General features: G+C 42.1%; 1 protein-coding gene and 1 long non-coding RNA gene across 3 annotated transcripts in view, besides 1 other annotated feature; one reads left to right on the forward strand and one right to left on the reverse strand.

Moving 5' to 3' along the window:
* LOC124900966 (uncharacterized) lies at positions 3,468 to 5,037 on the reverse strand. Its single transcript, XR_007058739.1, has 2 exons — positions 4,965 to 5,037; positions 3,468 to 4,002 (listed from the first exon to the last, which is right to left on the reverse strand). It is a non-coding gene; the product is annotated as an uncharacterized LOC124900966 (long non-coding RNA).
* Positions 3,560 to 4,061: an enhancer, noted in NCBI's record as "NANOG hESC enhancer chr5:38257291-38257792 (GRCh37/hg19 assembly coordinates)". NCBI's record gives its function as "activates a minimal SCP1, AML or CMV promoter by ChIP-STARR-seq in primed H9 embryonic stem cells {active_cell/tissue: H9 hESC(primed)}" and the evidence as "EXISTENCE:reporter gene assay evidence [ECO:0000049][PMID:30033119]".
* The window catches only part of EGFLAM (EGF like, fibronectin type III and laminin G domains), a 206,922-nt gene continuing 190,202 nt past the window's right edge, over positions 4,930 to 21,649 (forward strand). For both annotated transcript variants that reach the window (NM_001205301.2, NM_152403.4), the window contains exon 1: positions 4,930 to 5,222. In NM_001205301.2, coding sequence (NP_001192230.1) covers positions 5,126 to 5,222 — 97 coding nt within the window. In that variant the 5' untranslated portion in view covers positions 4,930 to 5,125. The remainder of the gene's footprint in view (positions 5,223 to 21,649) is intronic.

Genomic DNA, 21,649 nt, shown 5'->3' on the forward strand with positions numbered 1-21,649 from the left:
GTGTTGGTATGATTTTTGAATGACTAGAACTCTCATATACTTTGATGGGAGTGTATATGAATATAGCCACTTTGGAAAACTGTTTGACAATACCTTCCAAACCTAAACATATGCCTATCATATAACCTCATAATTCTGCTCACAGGTATACACAGCAGATACACATACATATGTCTGCCACAGACACATACAAGAATGATCACAGCAACATCTTCGGTTGTAGTTCCAAACTAGAAACAACCCAAATGTCTATCAGGAGTAAAATGGATAAACAAATTATGATACATTTCTATAATGGAATACTACACAGCAATGAACATGAATAACCACACAACTTGGATGAATTTTTTCAAACATAATGTTGAGTAAAAGAGGAATAAGTGATTACATTACTGCATGATTCCATCTATATAAAGTTCAAAACCAGGCCAAAATAATCTAGGTGCTAGAAATCAGGAAAATGGTTACCTATTTGGTTGTAGGGTAGGTTACAGTTAGTGGGAAGAATGAAAGGCTTTTGGGGTGCTGGTATTGTTTTATTTCTTGATCTGGGGGTTTATTACACGTTTGCTTTGTCAGTGCAGTCCATTGATTACATACTTAATTATAATCAAGTATAAGCAAGGAGGACATAATGCATAGCAGATGGCTATGCATTATACAGTATCTTATTATATATGTTATCATTTGTAATACAGGGTCTTTGTCACTCAACCCAATAGCACATTATTTGCACTCTTATTTAGGGCTTCCTTTGTTCTGCTTTATGGAACAATTGACAGTGCAACTGTCTTCGTCTCCCAACAAATTTGTAGTCTTCTTGAGTGCAAAAAATATTGTTGCATTTTCTCTAATATATTATTTCTGTTCTTAGCACAGAGACTTACACATAATGGGATTCAGTCTCAATGTTTGTTTTACATTGGTGTAGGGAGAGTGTTTACTTATTTTTACTGATCTACTTTTATTTGTGTGTTTTAATTAAAGGTAAATGGGAGGTTAGAATTCTCATCCCTCATCCTTCTTCAAAAATACACACTTCTAGAGAGGAAGCATGAAGAGGGCTTTGTGGGGGTGCTGGTCATATCCTATTCCTTGATCTGGGCAGTAGTTAATAAAGTTATACAAGTGTGCTCACTTTGCTATAATTCATCAATTGGTACACTTACTATTTGATACTTTTGTATGTTGCATCTTGATTAAAATGTAACATATAAATATATGTATATTTATATTTCTAGTTTGATAAGACACTACGTTGGTGAGAGTTCACGGAATTAGTTAGGCACATATACTGCTTATTGGGGAGTAAAATAGTACAACCTCCTTGGGAGGAAATGTAGCCAAATTATCAAAATTGAAAAGGCATTTACTGTTTGACCGAGCATGGTTAGTCTAGAAATGAACCCTACAGTCTACTATAACATGTGCAACTTATTACATATTCAGTGTCATTCATGCCTGCTGTTTATAATAATTGGAAACAACAGAAGAAAGAACAAATAAATTACATATCACATGTAGAATATTATTCAGCAGTTAGTAAGAAGGAGGCAGATCTGTATCTGCTGATTTGGAAGGATCATCAGGTTAAGAAGTACGTAGAAGATGCTCTTGGTTGCGTTAAATATATGTGTATATAATTAGCTTGTCCATTCATAGACCATCTCTAGAAGGATATCCAAGAAACTGGTGATGGTAGAAGGAAGAAAAGGAAACTTATTTTTCACTATACACTCTGCCTGATCTGCATTTCAAATTTTACATGTAGATATAACCAATTTAGAAAAATAAATCAAAAGATGATTCTTGGCTGCTGCCTCTTTGTCACTCTCATTTAGAGTCTTAATAAACATTCTATAATTGATAAGTTTGCCTTTACTTTCTTCTACCAGCCTCCAAATCTATTCCATGCAGCAAAGGTCAGATTCCTCTTCCATGATAATGAGCAAAGTAGGCAGGTCACTCTTCTGCTGGTGACCTTATTAATTGAGTTTAGACCTCCAGTGAATTTGAACAGATTTTTTTTTTTTTAATGAAACATTCAAAGCCTCTTGGCCCCTCTTTAGTTCCCCTCCTCTCAGAAAGCAGGAAGAGAGTGAAAGGCAAGTGTTCTATTTGTCTTTAGTCAGATTTACAAATGCCATAGTTGGTTTTCAAACTGGAAGGAGAGGGAATCTTCCAGTTCCCTTGGAGGATGCGATTTGAACTGCAAAGGAAGGGAATAAGTTTAATGTAACATGTGCTCTAGATTTGAAGCAGATTTTGTGAAATAAGGTCTTATCTCAATGGCCTGATGATCCAGAGTGTTTGCAGGCCCTCAGAGGTAAAAATACAACAGTATAATCTAATGTTGTTTTTCCCCAAGGAAAAAACAAGAGGGGTCTCTGAAGAAACCAAGCCTATTTCCCAAATCGCCTATGGTCATCTGCAAAAAAATGGAAGGGAGGCCCAGGGCCAGGGATGCCGAGGTGGTGTGGGCACATGAGGAGGACATTGGCAAGAAGGCTGCCCAGGCTTGCGAAATTTGCAGTGGACAATTTGCACAGGGTCTGTTAAAAGGCACATGCAGAGTAAAGGTAGCTTAGATTAGATGATGCTGTTTTATCAGCTATTAAAGAGAAAGCAAAACCTGGAATTTACTGATTGTTTCGTCCAGCCCATTCATTTTTACCAAGGCACACTATACGCAGAGCCTAGGATTAAACACCCACATCTCCCGATCCTCTCAGTCCACTGCTGTGTTTACTTTCCACATTGTTCTCTCAAAAGCCTGAAAGCTGGAATCAGACCCCTTGGATTCAAGCGCTGCATGGGAGCTGCATGACCTTGGGCAAGTTTCTTAACCTTCCCATGCTTCAGGTTCCTCACCTGTAAAAGGCGAGAATAGTAATGACAGTATCTTCCTGGTATGGTTGTTATTGGGATTAAAATGCACTTCAAAGAAGGTCTGGTACATAGGAGACCTTAAATAAATGGTAGCCATAATATCAACGATTATTATTACTTCCAGTTTCAGCATCACAGAGAATCATTTTTAAGTAGGAAAGCCTGCATGGGAGGCATCTGCATTGCAACACTCGCTTGGTTCTGGGTGCCACATTAAGTCCGAGATAAGAAATCACTTTCGCATAAAGAAAGGCCTCTAACAACTTCTCAGCTGGCGCTGGAGGAGCTCTCTCACACAGGTGGAGTTCAAAGGGAGGTGGCACGACCCGACACCAATGCTGAAAGCAGACTCCTGCGTGGAGTGGAGGCATGGCCTAGATGACCTTTAAAATGCTAAAAAGTCTATGATTTTGAGACCTTTGAGACTAGCAGCCTTGGGGGCAGTCACTTTGCTTAGCTTAGTGGCCGGCTTTATGGTCACCTTGGACGTGAAGAGCATAGTTCTGTCTGAACTTTGCTCCAGTTCTATGTAAGAGGACAAGCTCTGGTGTCACAGCTAAAACTTCCAAATACTCAAGTTGGAGGGGACTTTGAATTTATTTGTGAACAGACAATTGCACACTTGAAAATGCCAACACATAAGGGAACACACTCAGCTTTGCTAACTAACAAGATTGAGCTCATTACAAACTCTCCAGCCAGGGGATATTTCATTCTTAAAAGAGGAGTAGAAATCCTGTGTGTGTGTGTTTGGGGGGCTGGGGAGGGGAGAAGAATATATCAGTCAACATTGTTTCCTCCCGCGCTCCCAAACATAGGCTAACTGTGAAGAGCCAGGACGCCCACCGAGTCCTGGCAGCGTTGCAAGGTGGGGAGGGGGCGGGCGCGGTCCTGTCGCTAGTGACTGCAGATTTCCTCTGCGGGGCACTTCCTACGGCCTTTGATCTTTCCCCAGGAACTGCCGAGGGCCGCGTTTGCCTCTAAGTTTATTCCCTCTTGGTTTATTTATTGTATCTGCTTTCTCTTCTCGCTGGTTTGGAGGTCAGAACGCCAGTATGCAACGGGACTTGTGTCCCAGGCAGGGTCTCCCCTCTCCAGGCACTACCGCGAAATCTGGCAAAAGGTACATTTTACTGAGTCCTAGGGCAGCAAATTCAGCGGCGGAGAAAGAGTCTTTCTCCATTCAGGAGACAACCCAGGAAGCCCGATCCCGGGATCAGAGGCCAGGACCCCGCCCCGGCCCCCTGCCCCAGGCCCAGCTGGGCGCCGCCCAGGGGCTTTTCTCGGTCCGCCTGGGGGCTCGAGCTCGCGTCCCTCCCTAAGACGCCAGGCTTAACTTGGAGTTTCATCTCCTCCCCAGGAGGGTCTCAAGTTGCCTTCCTCTGCCGGGAAGGGCCCCCACTCCCCCGCTCCAGGCCCTAATCTCCACCCGGCGTCCCAGTCTGAGCGGCCTGGCCTCAGCTCTCCATCTGCGAGCCTTAAATCCCATTTATCTTCTTAGCGCCTCAGACCCGGACGGTCCCGCCTCTCTTCCTCTCACCCCCACCCCACTTGCAAATCACAGACCCCCGTCTACCCCTCGCATCCCCCAAGTGCGCTGGACCAACTACAGCAACCTTTGAGGTGTTAGAAAAAGTCGCCTAGAGGGGCGCGGCAGGAGGAGGGCCCAGGTGGGGTGGAGGGGGGGCGCCCCAAGATTTCAGGGTGAGGACCGCGGAGGGTCCTGGACCCGCAGTCGCCTAACTCCTGCCCTGCGTCTCCAGTGCTTGAAGTCGGTCCCTCCCAGGTCCCCAATCTAGGTCACCAGCGGGGAAGGGCTGCGCTGGGGGTCGCTAGAGAGGGTGAGGGGCGGGCTGTCTGCTTCCGAGGTGGGCGAGGAGTGAAGGTTTCAGGGCCTGTCCCTCTCACTTCCACTCGATTGTAATTTCATCCCCGGGCCGGTCGAGCCTCCCTCCCTCCCGCGGCCAGCCCTTCCCTCCCAGTCGGCCTCCTTCGTCGCCCCCGCCCCCGCGAAAAGCCCTGCAGCTTGCAGCCGGCTTCACTCGCGCACGCCGACCTCCCGGCTGCAGTCCTACCTCTTGGAACTACCCGTGTTTCCGGGCCCAGCCCTCGCAGCCCCCCACCTCCTCGCCCCGGCCCGGGGATCCGTTGGGGCCGCGTCCCCCACGCGCCCCCGGAGACGCCCTTTCCGTGTGCGCCCGGGACTTGGTGAAACTTTGCAGGCGCCGGCTGCGAAATGGATTTAATCCGAGGCGTCTTGCTCCGGCTCCTGCTCCTGGCTTCCAGCCTCGGACCCGGCGCGGTGTCGCTCCGAGCGGCCATCCGAAAACCAGGTAATGCGCTCCTCCGCCCAGAGCCACCACGCCCCGAGCGCCCCTGCTGGGCTCCGGGGCGAGGACACAGAGCGGGCAGCGCACCGCCTCCCTCTCCCCGACCAACGTCTGCTTAACTCGCTTCAGCTCTGCCAGGAGCTGAGAAAAGACGCAAACCTCGCCCTCCCCCGAGCCCGGGCGGCGCTAGGGATATTTATTTATTAAAAGAATGATCAATTTTCCAGACATAGTAGATAGAGGTGGTGGTCCCCGTGTTTGACCGCAGAGAGCTGACAGTTGGGACAGCGATCGTGCTGTCTCAATTACAGAGGATGGCAACCATGCAGAGGAGTCAAACCAGCCCCTCCTGCGTCTCCAAACATTTTACTCAATTCATATTGTCCAGAGCCCAGCCATTTCCTGTTAAGTGTCTGAAGGGTTGCCTGGAGCCCCCTCTGCCCATCTCGGGTCCTGCCCACGCGTTGTGCAGGGATGTGGACTCTGCTCTTAGCATCCTCTTCCACTCTGGGGCCATTTGTTCAGAAGGAAGCACCCAGTGGGTTAATTTTACCGTGTTTTGAACTCCTGTCTTTGCTTTGGCATTTAAACAAAGAAATGTACGTTGTAACCTGTTATAAGGGACTGGGAATTGGGGGAGAACTTGAAACCATAATAACGTGTGTTTCCTCTAGCTGCATATAGGTAAAAAGTCTTCGTTTATTTTGGTCTACTTTGATTTGGCCTATGCTGTGAGATTATTCAAAGTAGAACATTCTGAACAATGAAGTTCTAAACATTGTTTCCCAAATAACGATTTTTATTACTTTTTGCTGGGACCATATTTAGAATTCTGAAAAATCTGTTTTGTCTTAACTTACTTTGTAAGGGAGGTTGTCTTATGGGATTAATTATATCTTATGAACAATGGAAAACAATATTACTTTTATTTGAATGCAGTCTGCAAAACCTCACAGAAAGTGCAGTTTGTCTTCACAAACGTTTCTGTAAGAAAGAGGCAAAGCTAGGAAAATTTATCAGAGGGCAGAGAAAATCGTCTTAGCGGGATCCCATGTGAATGCTTAAATATTTTCGCATTGAAACTCTCTATCTGGAAATATGACTTGTTGCATTTCGGCTCTGGAAGCGTCCTCAGTCTTTGCACTGTGTCTCTTATTACCAGCACTTGTTACCTGCCTTGAAATCTAAGGTCATTATCATAATCTACACCATATTTAAATTATGAGCCACTCCATTTATGAGCTCTTCAATTCATTTTGGAGATAATAGCTTCAGTCCAAGGTAATATCACATTAAATTGTTTCTCTTCCTGCACGCACACATACATATACCTTCAAGGATTTCAGTGAAGGGCTTCTTTCTAACTTTCCTCCTTAAGATAACCACATCACGATCAATTGCATTTTGCAGATTTATTCACATGAAATCATCTATTAATTGTCACAATTTTTAAACAAAGCATAGTTATATCTATAGTTTTAAAGCATGAACAGTGTATGCAATGCTTTTTAAAGGATATATTTTAATCCATTTAAGGGGAATTTTTAAAAAGCATTTTATAAAAACCTGTTGTATAAAACTGCTCATGTGGGTCATCATATTTTCCTTCTTATTTTTTGGAGTTCTTCTCCTAAAAAGATTTTCTACCTGGTTCATTCAGGGTCTCATTCTGATATTCATGCCAGGAATATGCCATGCTGGCCTCTTTGGTTTTATTTGAAGCATAGATAGGGTTTTGATAGTGGAAACACCACCTCTTAAATACTTTGGCATATTAATTACATCAAATTTGAGATAGAAGTGTTTAGACTAGGTTCAACCTAGAAGAGTTTTATTTTTATTACTTTATAATTTTATCCAGACACTAGCTTTCAGGTTGGAAAGCTTCTCAGATTAAAATGACAGCTACTTCATAACTTCAGGGGAAATTTCCCTCCTGGGCTCATTTACATCCCTTGGAAAGACTAGTTTTTGATCCGGAAAATTGGTCCAGATTAAAAAACTGAATGTGCCCTGCTTGGCTCTGATGTGAGCAGCAACTAGCTAATTTATAATCTTCCCCAGACACTAGCAAATCCTGCTAGTATCCATATGGGAGTTTCTTTGTACCTTGTTTCCTCAACAGAAATTGGTACATAGACAGTACTTTGAAGGTATCGTGGCCACGGTGCAGGCATACTGGAGCGGTTCTGTCTTATTTGGATGACCCTCCCTATCTCCTCATACTCCTAAATCTACTTTTGATAAGTATAGCATTGTTGGAGAAGTCTTGGATTCAAAATCAACCTGGAAATTCCCCATCCGCACCTACCTCTGGTGAGAAAAAACTGAGTAGCAGCTTCAAGTCTGAGTCTAGTTTGGGTTCAACACAAGCAACCTTTCTCTTCACCCCAAGATAGCTCATCTTTTGACATTGAACATTAATAAAGAAACCTCTGCATTTGCCAAGACTTACAAGAAATGACAGTTTTCAAATTAAGTGAAATTAAATCATAATAACTAACACTAAGTGCTTGCTACACTGTTCTAAGAACTGGATGCACAGTGATTTATTTAATCAACCCAATAGCCCTGGGAGATGGGGACTATTATTATCACTGTTTTACTGAAGGAGAAATTGTGGCTTAGAGAGGTTAAATATCTCATCCAAGGTCACACAACTAGTAAGCGGTGGAATGGAAATTTAAACTCTGATATTCAGGACCAGAAACTGAGCTCAGAACACTGTGTTTGCAGAGGTGTGTAGCATGTCTTGTAGGGTGTCTTCCTGGAGGCTGAAGAGTGGAGCTCCCGTGGGTCAGATATTGGAGCCTAGGTGGAGGCTGCTGTTTTGTGTGGGGATCCTGCGTTGCTCTTAAACATTTGTAAATGGGATCTGCCCATGCCTGCTAAGACAACAGAGTGCATATGATACTGAAAGAATTTTGGAAGCTACTGTCTACTGGCCTCATTTATAAGAATCACAGGGTGTGGCCTTATGGGGTGATGATGAACCACTTGCTTCTCTTGTTGAACTCCTGGGGATTAAGGCTGGTGAGGGTCAGAGGGCCCACTACAGTACCTGAGGGTAGAAAAAGGGGCCTCTGAAGAATGGGAGGGTTTAGGGCCCTGTCCTTTCCCCAGACCTTCACGGTGTGGACACACCACTCATTGGATAGCCTTCATTCCTTTTCAGACTACAAATTAGAATCATAGGCCTGGAAAGAAGTGAAAAGTCCTCATTTTGCAATGAGGTTGAGGGTGACTCAGTAACTTGCCCCAGTTAACATCAGAAGCTGAACTGGAACTGGCACCTGGACCTCCCACCCTCCTGAGTGGTCTCTAGCCTAGTGCTGGTCCCATCACCTGAGTCTCACCAGAAAGTGCGGGAGGACTGCCGTGCTTCTGTGGTGGGGCAGGAAGAAGGGAGGGGAAATCCAGACAACTGCGGGAACCAGCATGCAACAAGTCACTTAATTCCCGCAGGCATATTGCTAACTCTTGTCCTTATTATCATTTTAAAGTCAGATTTATTGAGGTATAATTTATATGCAATAAATTTCATCAAGTCTACAGTTTGATGAGCCCTAACAAACATACACAGTAATGTAATCACCGCCGGAATAGAAATATATAGAACATTTCCATCATCCTTAAATATTACCTTGTGTCCCTTTGTAGAAAAATGACTCCCTCCCAGCCCCTGGTAATCACTGATCTAACTTCTATCCCTGTAGTTTTGCCTCTTCCAGAATGTCATATTTTGTGTCCACCCTCTGTCGCATAATGCTTTTAAGATCCATCCATGTTTTTGCATATATTGGAAGTTTGTTCCTTTCTTATTGTTGAGTAGTGGTGCGTTGGATGGACCATGGAATTCCAGTTTGTTTAACCATTTGCTAGTTGGTGGACTTTTAAGTTGTTTTCAGTTTTAGGCTATTATGAATAAAGTTCCTAGACACGTGCACGTAGAAGTCTTTGGAAGATATATGTTTCCATTTCTCTTGATAAACAGAAGGAGTGGGATCACTGCATCACATGGCAGGTATATGTTGAGCTGGATAAGAAATCACCAAACTGTTTTCCAAAGTGGCTGTACCATCTTACATTCATACAATGTACGAATGTTCTAGCTGCTCCTAATCCTCTACAACACTTGGTAGAGTTTTTTTTTGGTTTTGTTTTAGTGATTCTATTCTAATAAGCATGTAATAGTATGTCATCACAGTTTTAGTTTGCATTTCTCTAATGACTAATTATATTGAACATTTAAAAAATTTATTTATTTGCCATCTTTTCTTTGGTGAAATCTTTGTTTAAATGTTTGGCTGATTTTTAAAACTTGGGATGTTTGCCGGGCATGGTGGCCCATGCCTGTAATCCCAGCACTTTGGAAGGCCAAGGTGGGCAGATCACTTGAAGCCAGGCGTTTGAGACCAGCCTGGCCAACATGGCAAAACCCCAGCTCTACAAAAAATACAAAAATTAGCCGGGCTTGGTGGCGCGTGCCTGTAGTCTCAGCTACTTGGGAGGCTGAGGCACGAGAATCACTTTACCCTCAGAGAGGGAGGTTACCATGAGCCAAGATCGCACCACTGCACTCCACCCTGGGTGACAGAGGAAGACTCTGTCTCAAAAAAAAGAAACAAAAAACATTGGGATGTTTATTTTCTTATGATTGAATTTTGAGTGTTTTTTGTATGTTCTGGATGCAAGTCCTTTATGAGATCTGTGTTTTGTAAATCTCGGCTTCTAGTATGTGGCTTGTCTTTTTATTTTCTTAATGGTGTCTTTCAAAATGTAGAAGATTTACATTTTGATAAAGTCTAATTTATCATTTTCTTAAATGGCTCGTGCTGTTTTTTTGAAAGCTTAACCCGTGGCTGCAAAGATGTTTCCCTATGTTTTATTGCAGAAGTTTTTTAGGTTTTACATTTAGGTCTATAATTCATTTTGAGTTAATTTTGTATGAGGTGTGAGATATAAGTCAAGGTTTATTTGCTTTTGTATGGATATCTTGGCTTTATTTTCTAAGCACTCTTATGCTTGGTGGTGGGAGGTGGTACATCAGAGGCAAAGGGATCTCCAGCTTGGAAGGCTTGCTGTAGCTCTCAAGCTACAGTGGCTGTGCCATTAAGACCTCCTCATTCCTATGCAGTAGATAGGGTATAGATCGTTTGTCTCTCTACAAGGTTCTGTCAGTGAAGTCAGACTTAGGGCTGACAGCCGTGGCATGTCTGGGAAGGATTCCTGGGGTTAAAGACCGGTGCTCCCAGGCTTAGAGCCTGGGGTTGCTCTTTGTTTATTTAGACAAGTCTCCTGACATTTATTAACTCTCTGGCACTAGGGGGGCTGGAGAACTGCACATGGGTCCTGCCTTTCCTCCTGCCTGTCCAGTTTGCCTGAGGTCCCAGGGTCAGTCGAAGAAGGTCAAGTCAGCGTTCAGAGTTCAAGGTTTTCCCTGGAGTATCTGGGTGTCCATAATCATCCTTAGCACGATGCAGCTCTCTCATCTTTTTCTTTCCACTTTGTCAGTATTTCTCTAGTGGTATAATCAAACTAAAATAAAGATGTAAGGAAAGTCAGGAAGCAAAAACAAAAGGCTGGAAGAGAAGGGTTAGCTTGTGGGCAATACATCTTGTTGGTTGCTGGTAGAGATACATGCACCTCTAGAGGCATTCTGCTGCTGCTAGTGTGAGGCTGAATGGCTAAGGGGCAGTGGCCAGGGATCAGGGGTCATCCTGGTCTACTTCCCCAGTGCCACCTTGATCTACCTGGAATTCACAAGAGACTGGTTAGTTCCTCACTTATAGCTCTCATCCAAGCCCTCTTCCCAAAGCATGGCAATTGGGGGAGATCTCTCATCTGTATGTTCCTTCCTGTCCCCTTTCCAGTCCACTGTACTCCATATCCCAGTGCTGATTCAGGCTGTCTCATTTATCAGGGAAATCTTTAGCTCACAAAAGCCGTGGGGCACTAGAAGCTAGGTGCTAGGGACCTAGCACACTCATCCCCAGCACCCAACTCCTAGCGCCCCACGCAATTCAGGCAGACAGAAATGTTTTCCTCTGATTCTTCACTCCATCACTGTGCTTCCCCTCCTATTGGTTTCAACATCTTATCTAATCTTCATAAGGAAGCACTTCTCTCTTTGACTCCATCTCTCTTTGTTAGTCTCACTCTTTCCATTAATTCTCTGTGAGAGGTAAAGAGACAGAGGAGTCAAGGTCAGGAGTAAGTGTAGTTTAATGTGAGGCAAGACTTGTTTTTCCGAATTCTTTCTCAGGGAAGAGTGGCTTGGCCAGAAAGGAGCTGAGTGGTGCTTTTTGTTCTTCTTACCCAGAGCCGAGGGCTTTAATAACCTTAGCATTCTTTGGGGAATAGTAGTCCATCTGTTTATGGCTTACTACAGCCCAAAAGTGGTCTAGTAATTTTGGCTAGATTTCTGGAAGACTGAGACTCAGCATCCGAGGCTGAGGTGGGACTCCAGCTTGCCCAGGGCTATCCTGTGGCTACCTCGTGTTCTCCTGCCTCACACCCTGGCAGGCCGGACTGTAGTGTTTCCCAGCTGACTGAATGATGTGATGTCTTGATTGCAGCAGAAAATCTTTTGAGTTGCTCAAGGCCCGTGTGCCTTGCCTTTGTTTTTGCATGTCAAGCTGCACATCTTAGAGATGCACCTGCTATTTCAGTTATCGAAAAAGGGAAAAGGTGAGGAGATATGGCAGCCTTTAGAGGAAATCCCCCAAACTCATCTTTGATTTCACTGATTGTGGACCTCGCCTTCGAGGAAGGACCCCAGGGTGTAGCTTCAGCCTCCTGAAATGAGCGGGGGTACTTTTGCTTCCTTGCAGAACCCCTCATGGGTTCTCATGCAGTGGCTTAGATGAGTCAAATAAAATTTCTGCCAGCAGAGGGCGCACATTCCAGAGCTGGCTCTGCGCGGGTCTCCGCCCTCAGCAGTAATTCCTGCACTAAGTGGATCTGAATTTTTAGAGTGCAATCCAGGCACCTGCCTTTTTAAACAAGAACCTCAGATGACTTGATGCACACTTTGAGACATGCCAAAAGAGAGTTTGGACTCTCCCACTGCCTCCCTCTCCCTGGTACCTCGACCCAGGTACTCTGTGTTATGCTGATCTTCACTGCTTCATACCTCCACGCCCAGCTGTGACTGCTGACGACAACATGTTGCTCTGGGCATCTGTATTTAACCAGAACAACCCTGTCCTTAGACTCTAAGCTGACCGGTGAAAGAGGGAAACCTTGCAATGGCGTTAACAAAAAGCCACGCTGTTCTCTATATAACCAACATTTTCCCCCCTTACCTCCCTCACCCCCAATCCCAAGCTTATTCTTTCAGCCTTCAAGGCTGGTTTCTCCTGGTGGAGCAGGAAGGCTTGGGTAAGAGCACATATTTTGATATTCCACACATTGGGGTTCAAGTTCTGACACTTTACAGCTACATGGTGACAGTGGGTCAGTTATATATGCTCCATAATCCTCAGTTTACTGATCTGTAAAAATAGGATAAAGAAAGACCCTACCATAAAATGTTCCAGGGAAGATCCAATACAGTAATGCATGTAGCAGGGCATTAAAAAGGATTAAAGACTGACATGTGAAGGCAATATTTAAGAAATTGGGATTGTTTAATCTGGACAAGGAAGAAAAACCTGAAAGAATTTCTATATTTCCAGGCATCAGAAGTAATAAACATAGACATTTATGATTTTATGTACTTTTATTCTTTTCTATAGGTATTAAGGTATGGTTACATGTGATGTAACTTGTATTGAATTGTAACATTTTTCAGACAAATGAATTAACAAATTAGAAAGACTCCCTGGTCAACCACATGCCTTGATTTTTGGTTTGGAAAATGAGGATGATTTTTGCCTGGTAATTGTCTTGGGGGAAGTTTTGCAGGATGTGGTAGGGCAGCAGCTGTTCCTAAAACAGAATTATCCAAACTGATATGTTACTGGGAGTCAGTGAAAGTCTCCATAAAGCCAGAGAGCTCAGAAATGGTCCAGGTTTTGCTCACTGATAAGTTGATTGGAGTAAATCAGGAATCACTGCTAGGGACATGGAAAAATAGACCGGGCTCACTCAGTCCATTTCCTATTGATGTTTCCTCAGCTGGAAAGAGCCCCCACTTATCCAAAGCAGGCTAGTGCTTTGAAAGAGCTGAAGTGCTACCTAAGGAGAGGATATGATCTAACAATAGTCATAGTAATTATTATTACTTTCACCAACCACACCGAGCAAGGATATACATCCCAGTGCTTTGATCTCATTTCCAGTATCCCCCTTATCTAAAGACACTTGACAATTCTTTCTTGTCTGACTCTGCAAGTCTTGAGCAATTTAAATTTTAACACTTGTGTTTGCTGACAGGGCACCCAAAATCCCAAATCAGATTTAATGCAATGTTAATGCTATTTATTTTTCTTGCTGCAATAAGTTTATATTAGCCATTTAGTGGCTTACATTGTGCAAAACGAGTTGTATCAGCAGGCACTTTTCTGTAACATCTGGGCACTTGGAAACATAATACTTAAATACAACCTGAGTTTAAAGCCTTCCACAGACAGATGGCTAATTTGATTGATCTAATCTTTCAGTTAGGAATAGATCCCATGATCCTTTGCTTGTAATTCTTGAGTGAGCAGATAAATAAAAAAATGGGTGATGGCTGTGAATTAGGCACCTGTTATATTGTCTGTAATTTATTTTTTAAGTACTTCAATATAAACAGTGACTCTACGAATTACTTTAATCTCTACCCTGGGGGAGCTTAGTTAACACTTGAAGTAATCCAGGCTAGAAGGCACCGCTCTGGCATAAGAATTTACAGCTATTTTCATCTCTTGGTGATTGTGCCATGCCAGTGGTTAGATATTTGGAACTTCACCTCTGTCTTAGGCAGGAATCCAGACTGATTAGTGATTATTTGAAGAACTTTACTATGACGTTCCAAGTGGCAGCAAATATACTTAGAATGATGTTATCAGATATTCACGCTAGAGGGTTCATTAATTAGCATAAATGATGTTAGATGCAATGTTTTTATTGGTGAAAATATGTGATTAACTAGAAAGATTATTCATGTCCCTCTATTTTTACGTGGACAAAGAGTAAGAATCCAGCAACTCCAGAAATCAAGCTACTTTCGAGTGGCTGAATACAGCTAGAGCTCCATTCATTTCTGTGTTTCCCTCACACAACAGTAGACTCATTTGCCTGGCCCCACCCGGCAAGATGGTTTGTTGATTTTTCCATTAGAATATTGATGTATCTCTCTCAGCAGATACAAGCAGTTGCTTGTATTAATTAGGGTAATTAGCATTACCTATTGTAATAAATCCAAATCTGGGTGGCTTGACACAAAATTTATTTTTTGGACTTAGTCTAAGTCCAAAGTGGATGTTCCTTTCTAGGAAGCCCACCTCAGCTGTCTTCCTCCAAAGGGTGACTTGAAGACTCAAGTCATTCTGTCTTTAATCCCACCATCTTATAATACCACCATCTTTAAAATGGACCTCCAGGGTGGGAGGTAAAGAAAAAGAAGTCTTGTGAGAGATTTTTCTGTGCCAAATCAGAATATGGTCATGTTGCCCTAACCCAACTATACGGTTTCTGGGAAATGTCGTTCAGTAGTGTGCACAGGAAGAAAAATAACTAGATGTGGTAGATTGTCTCTGATGCAGTGCTTTGGAGTTCCTGAAATGACAAGAGGAAACATCACCAAATTTACAGCAGCAGGTTGTATGATAATTTTCGTGGCTTCTTTCCCATGGATATTTTATACGTGGCAGAATTTGACTTGGAATTTGCTTTTGTTGTAGTGTACAACCTGGTTGAAAAGCAAATAGTTACCATCTACTTTTACTTGCTGGAGGCCACCACAATTTTAAAAAGGAATCTAAAAACTAAACAGTCAAATTGATTTAGGCCAGTTTGCAGTAAGGTTCAAAAATATGTATATGGGTAAGTGCATATGTGCTATATGTTACTATATATATTTCCTACATTTTACAAAAGGTAAAATTAATCCCTTTAAAAAAAGTTGGCCAGGCTCAGTGTCTCACACCTGTAATTGGGAGGCTGAGGTGGTGGGTGGATCGCTTCAGCCCAGGAGTTTGAGACCAGCCTGGGCAACATGGCGAAACCGCATCTCTACTAAAATACAAAAAATTAGCCAGTTGTGGTGATGTGCACACTTACAGTCCCAGCTACTCAGGAGGCTGAGGTGGGAGGATCACCTGAGCTCAGGAAGTTGAGGCTGCAGTGCAACATGATCCTGCCACTGCACTCCAGCCTGGGCGATGGGAGTGAGACCCTGCATCAACAGCAACAACAACAACAACAAAAACAACCAAAAATTCACTACCCAGTGGATTAAATAGAGTGAGTTTCTAAGGCATATCAACTAGAACTCTAGTCCCTCCCACCCCTAGTTTACTAGAAACTCCTTCTGTTTGTGTCCCATAACAAAAAGGACTGACTAGTCATGGTAGAATATTCAGTAAGGGTTGCTTCTTAAATTATAAAAAAATCTTTTTTTTAGACACCACAGCCTTCTTTGATGAAGATGAAGATGCTGTGGGCTGATCTCAACAAAAACAAATTGATACAGTTGGTTGAACCACTTTTCTTTTCTTTTTTTTTTTTTTTTAGACGGAGTCTTGCTCTGTTGCCCAGGCTGGAGTGCAGTGGCGCAATCTCGGCTCACTGCAAGCTCCGCCTCGCAGGTTCACGCCATTCTCCTGCCTCAGCCTCCCGAGTAGCTGGGACTACAGGTGCGCGCCACCATGCCCAGCTAATTTTTTATATTTTTAGTAGAGACGGGGTTTCACTGTGTTAGCCAGGATAGTCTCGATCTCCTGACCTCATGATCCGCCCGCCTCGGCCTCCCAAAGTGCTGGGATTACAGGCCTGAGCCACTGCGCCTGGCCTGAAACACTGCACTTTTCAAAGCACTTCTAAAAATGATCTCATTTGATCTTTGCAATCCTTGCCCTACCAGGAAGTCAGGGCTGATGACTTAACAAAAAGGAAATAGCCAGGACATGAACCTAGGTCATCCAGCCTCTAGCCCTTGTTGCTTCCCATCAACCCAGCGGTGTTTCTGCAGCTAATGGATAAGAGCATGATCATTGCTATGTGCTTGAGTCTAGCTCTGCAGCCAGGAGGGACCTAGTCAAGAAGACACGCTCTTCAACCAGGCTTCACTTAGAAAGACTCCATGCGTGTCATGGGACACTCTGTAGAGTAACCTGGGACAGCTTTCAGTCATGCTCCTCACTGGTTGGTATGTGGGGAAAGTGGCTTATTTTACAAAATACTGGATGACTACAGGTCAGTTTGCAACTGAGAAGCAGCTGTTGCAGCTGGAGGATATCCCCAAAATCTTTTCAGATGTCTTCTATGGAAAACCCTTTTGGGATCTCAAGGACCACCCAGATGACACTCTGAAGCTTTCCATCCCTCCACAATTTAGCCATCCTTTTTAGTAGCAAATGATATTTGTTAGACCTTCAATGTGGCATATTTCAAGGTTTATCATTCCAGTCTCAGGATTTCTGTTAGTTTCTCAAACATCTCTTTGATGTTCTGGGAATTCCCAATTGGTGTAGTTAAATAAACCATTAGTTTGGAAAAAAAAAAACAACAAGCATTCATTTGATAGTTGTTTTTAAGTAATTGACAAGCTTAGCCACAACCTACACCCATAATACACATCCCTTCAGCTTGAAGGAATTGTAGTAAGACTCCAGTCAGACAGACCTGGGTTTGAATTCTAGCTTTAAAATTTATTTATTGCTGTCTGATTCCAGATAGAGTAGTTTCTTTATGCCTTATATATTTCATCTGAAATTTAAGGTTCATAATACCTACTACAAAGGTTTTGTGTGATAAATAAATGAGAAACTATGATGACGGAAGATATACCTGCAAAAGTACCTAAACATTTGGTACATAATGGGCATTCCAATGTTAATGCATATTAATTAGATTCATTGTGGTCTATAGAGTTTATAGAGTGGTAGAGATGTTAACTTTTCTATATTTATTGTAACCCCAAATATTGACAACATTGACATAAATGTATAATTGAGCTTAGGCATCCATGAAAGTGGAAATGAGAACAATTTCATTTCCTTAATTTCATATTATGAATTATTAGAGTTTATTTCCTCAAATGAGGACTTTTGGTGTTTATATTAGTCATAAAGTTATTGATATTGATGAAAGAGTTGGAGTCAGTTTTGAGTTTAATAAAAACACCCAACCTTTGTTTTGGACTTTGTACAAAATCAAGAAGAAAGGATCAGGCCACTATAGTAGTAATAGATTTTTCAGGCATCAGCTGCATGGCTCCCTACCTTGAAAGACATCATTTGCAGTTAGAATATCAAAATTTCTTTAGCTACTTTTTTACTGTGATATTAAGAGAATAAATGTAAAAGATGCTATTTCTATGATGTGTTCTCCGCCTTCATTTTGCTTCAACCGTACTCTCTACCAGAATAGTCTTCCCAAAATGAAGTTCTAATCCTATCACTGTTGCATTTAATATTCTTTTCTGGCTCACTACTGCTTTCCAAACTCTAAAGCTGGGCCTCTGAAATCTGTCACAATATAGCCCCAACTCACTTTCCTGTCTTCACTGAATACATGCCTGTATTCCAGCCAGGATAGATTATTTGCTATTCCATAGACCTCCTCTTCACTTTCCCAATGCTGAATGTTATCCACATGTTGATCTGACCCCTTGGAATATCCTTCCGTTATCTCTACCCAAGGAAACACAAGCTTCAAAGCATGTCCCAGTTACCTCCAGTTCTATGAAGTCTTCGTGTACTCTTCCAGCCAGAAGCCATTCCTCTCTTCTCCCTTTCTACTTTATATTATGTTATCTGTCTACTTGACTCATGTCTTCTGTTAGATTTGTAACTTGTTCAAGAAAAGCACCATGACTTCTCTACTTTTGTATCCCCTGCATTGCCTAATGGATTATCTTACACATGGTTGGCCCTTCACAGCCAGTTATGGAATGGAAAACAATGGCTTCCTTTGGGGCAAATACATTTTCACATTGTGTGATTAATTTGATCCTATTCCAAGCTTCTGAATTCATTTCATACAGAAAAAGTGTCACTTCCATGTGCCAACATTTTTGCACAACATATGCAGACATTTGAAAACCCACATTTCAGTATGATTCAGAGAAGTGAATGCCCCAGGGAGTCACTTTGAAGCAATATATAATTTAAATCCCACCTACATGCTGCCAAAGGCTATTGGAATAGTGGGGTTTTAAGGAGACTCTAATTGAGTCTGTGCTGTGAAATATGTCATGTTCAATACCTAGAGAACAGGTAGAGCTTGAAGTAATGCATGGGGCTGCCTCAGACTTGCTTTATAATGTCTTTGGAGGCTAAGAAGCAAAGGCAATACCATTTACTCATACACTGAAAAGTAGTAGGTGGGGAGGGGTTAAAATAGTCCAGTGTCCAACAATCCTCCTTCCCCCATTTGTCTTTAAAACCAAAGGAAAGAGAGGCTTGTGTGGGAATGGCATCGGAGGTATGATTGAAAAGGTCAAGTTGCGGGAAAAGGATAAAGCTAGACCAGTCTGCCATAATGAGAACTAACTGTGAGATCATAAGTAAAACAGTACTCCAATTCTTCAACATTCTTCTTCAATTTTATTGTACTGACCCTGGCTTGCTTATGAAGATCAATTCTGTATTCCCTTGAAAGCAAAGCAGCCAAAAGCTAGAGTGTTTGCAAAGGATTTTTCATTCTTTGTTTTTTAAGAACCAACATGCCTGATAAAAATGAATACTCCTGGTAAGTCCTATTGAAAGCAACCAGTTGACTGAAACATTCATCAGTTGACTTTTTGAGAGGTGTGTGTATGTGTGTGTGTGTGTGTGTCTGTGTCTGTGTCTGTGTGTAACCTAAAAGTAACCTGCATTATAATAGCAGTTAAAAATGAACTAAATTGTTTTGAAGTGGTGAAGTATTAGTGATACATGTACCAATGTCTGAAATTTACTTTGAAACACATTTAAAAAAATAAGATTTAGAAGAGGAGGATGGTATAAGATGGTGGAATAGGACTCTCCAGCAATCATTCCCCTGCATAAACATCTATTTGAATAACTATCCATGCATGAAAATACTTCACAAGAGCTAGAGAAACCAGGTTAGAGACCACTGTATCTAGTTATAGCATAACAATAAGAAAAGACACATTGAAGAAGGTAGGAAGGATAGTTATACATTACCCATGTCACCCCTTCCCCAGCAATAGGCAGCACAGCATGGAGAGACACACCATACACTTGAGGGAAAGAAAGAGAAATAAGCAAAGGAGTTTGCTTTGCACTCTAATTCTGGGCTCACCACAGTAAAACCCAGCACTGGGAAGTCCTACACAGCCCGATGACAGGCTGATACCCACAGACATAGCCCCTAGACCTATCCCTACACCAGATGGGAACACATAGCCCCTGCAAGATGGACTCAAGTTCTGGCCTGCATCACTGCTGGCCAACTACAGAGGCTTTGGACTCCACATAATCCCTAGTGACAGGAAGGCCTCAGAAGGTGTGACTTTTGGGCATGCCCCAGTGCTGTACTAGCTTCAGTGGCCATGGGCTTTGATTACACATCAGCACTGCAGCAGCCTTAGCAGCCGTGAGATTCTAGCCCGTGCTGTGACAGCTTTAGCAGCCATGGGACTTCAGTTTGGCACTGTGCTGGCTGTGACAGACCTGGGCTTAGAGGGCCCCCACGCACTGCAATGTGTGCAGTAATTGCAGTCTTGGGGACCACACCCTGACAACCTGCCCAAAATCTCTAGATAGGCTTACTATTGAAGGACATTCCTAGACAGAGCTAGACTGTGAACACTGGAATAAGTATCTGCTTCATCAATGTGCAGACATTGACACATGACCAAAATGATCAAGAACAATTTGGGAAACATGACATCATCAGATGAACAAAATAAGGTGCCAGTGACTAGCCCTGAAGAGATGGAGCGCTATGAACTTCCTGACAAAAAATTCAAAGTAGCTGTTTTAAGGAAGTTCAATGAACTTCAATAAAATGCGTAGAAACAGTTAAATGAAATGAAGAAAAGAATAAGTGACCAGAATGATAAATTTAACAGAGAAATATTAAAAAATCAAATATTATAACTGAAAAATACAATGAACAAAATGAAAAATATATCAACAGCAAAGTTTATTAAACAGAAGAAACAATCTGTGAACCTGAAGATATTTGAAAATATACAGCGAGGATTAAAAAGAAAAAATGAAAAAAGAATGAAGAAAGCTTACAGTATTTATGGGATAGCGTCGAAACAGCAAATGTTTGAGTCATTGGCATTCAAGAGGGAGTAGATGAAAAACAAAGGGGTAGAAAGCTTATTTAAAGAAATCATAGCAGAAAACTTTTCAAACCAGGAGAAAGATATAAATATCAAATTATAGGAATGCCAAAGGTCTCTAATCAGATTAAATCCAAATAAGGCTGTCTCAGGACATATTATAATCGAACTGTCAAAGATCAAAGACAAAGAGAGGATCCTGAAAGCAGCAAGAGAAAAGGAGCAAATAACATATAAGGGATTTCCAATATGCCTAACAGCAGACTTCTCAGGAAAACACTTACAGGCCAAGAGAGGGTGGGATGATATACTCAGTTTTGAAGGAGAAAAAACTGCCAACCAAGAATACTGTACCCAGAAAAGCTGTCCTTCAGAAATGAAGGATAGATAAAGACTTTCCCAGACAAACAAAAGCTGAGGAAATTTATCACCACCAGACCTGTCTTACAAGAAATGCTAAAGGGAGTTCCTCAGGCTGAAAGAAAAGGGTGCCAATGAGTAATAAAAAAAATCTGAAAGTATAAAACTGAATGGTAAAAGTAAGTACACAGTCAAATTCAGAACACTCTAATACTGTAAGGTGGTGTATAAATCACTTACATCCTTAGTATTAAGGTTAAAAGACCAACTGTTTAATGATAACTACAATCATTTGTTAAGGGATATGAAACATAAAAATGTAAATTGTGACATCAAACATTCAAAATGTGGAGGGGTAGTGAAGTTAAAGTGTAGAGATTTTTTTTTCCAATCAAAGTTAAGTTGTTATTAGCTTAAAATAATCTGTTATAACTATAAGATGTTTTCTGTAAGACTCGTGGTAACCACAGAGCAAAACCTATAATATACACACTAAAAACAAAAGGAAAGGAATCAAAAATACTACCAGGGAAAACTACTTAACCAGAAAGAAATATGGTAAGAAAAGATGGAAAGATCTCCTAGAAAACAATTTTAAAATGGTGGTAATAAGTGTGTACCTATCAATAATTACTTTGAATATAAATTGATCAAATTCTCCAATTAAAAGACATAA

The sequence above is a fragment of the Homo sapiens genome, chromosome 5, assembly GCF_000001405.40.
Source record: "Homo sapiens chromosome 5, GRCh38.p14 Primary Assembly".
Lineage (NCBI taxonomy): Eukaryota > Metazoa > Chordata > Mammalia > Primates > Hominidae > Homo > Homo sapiens.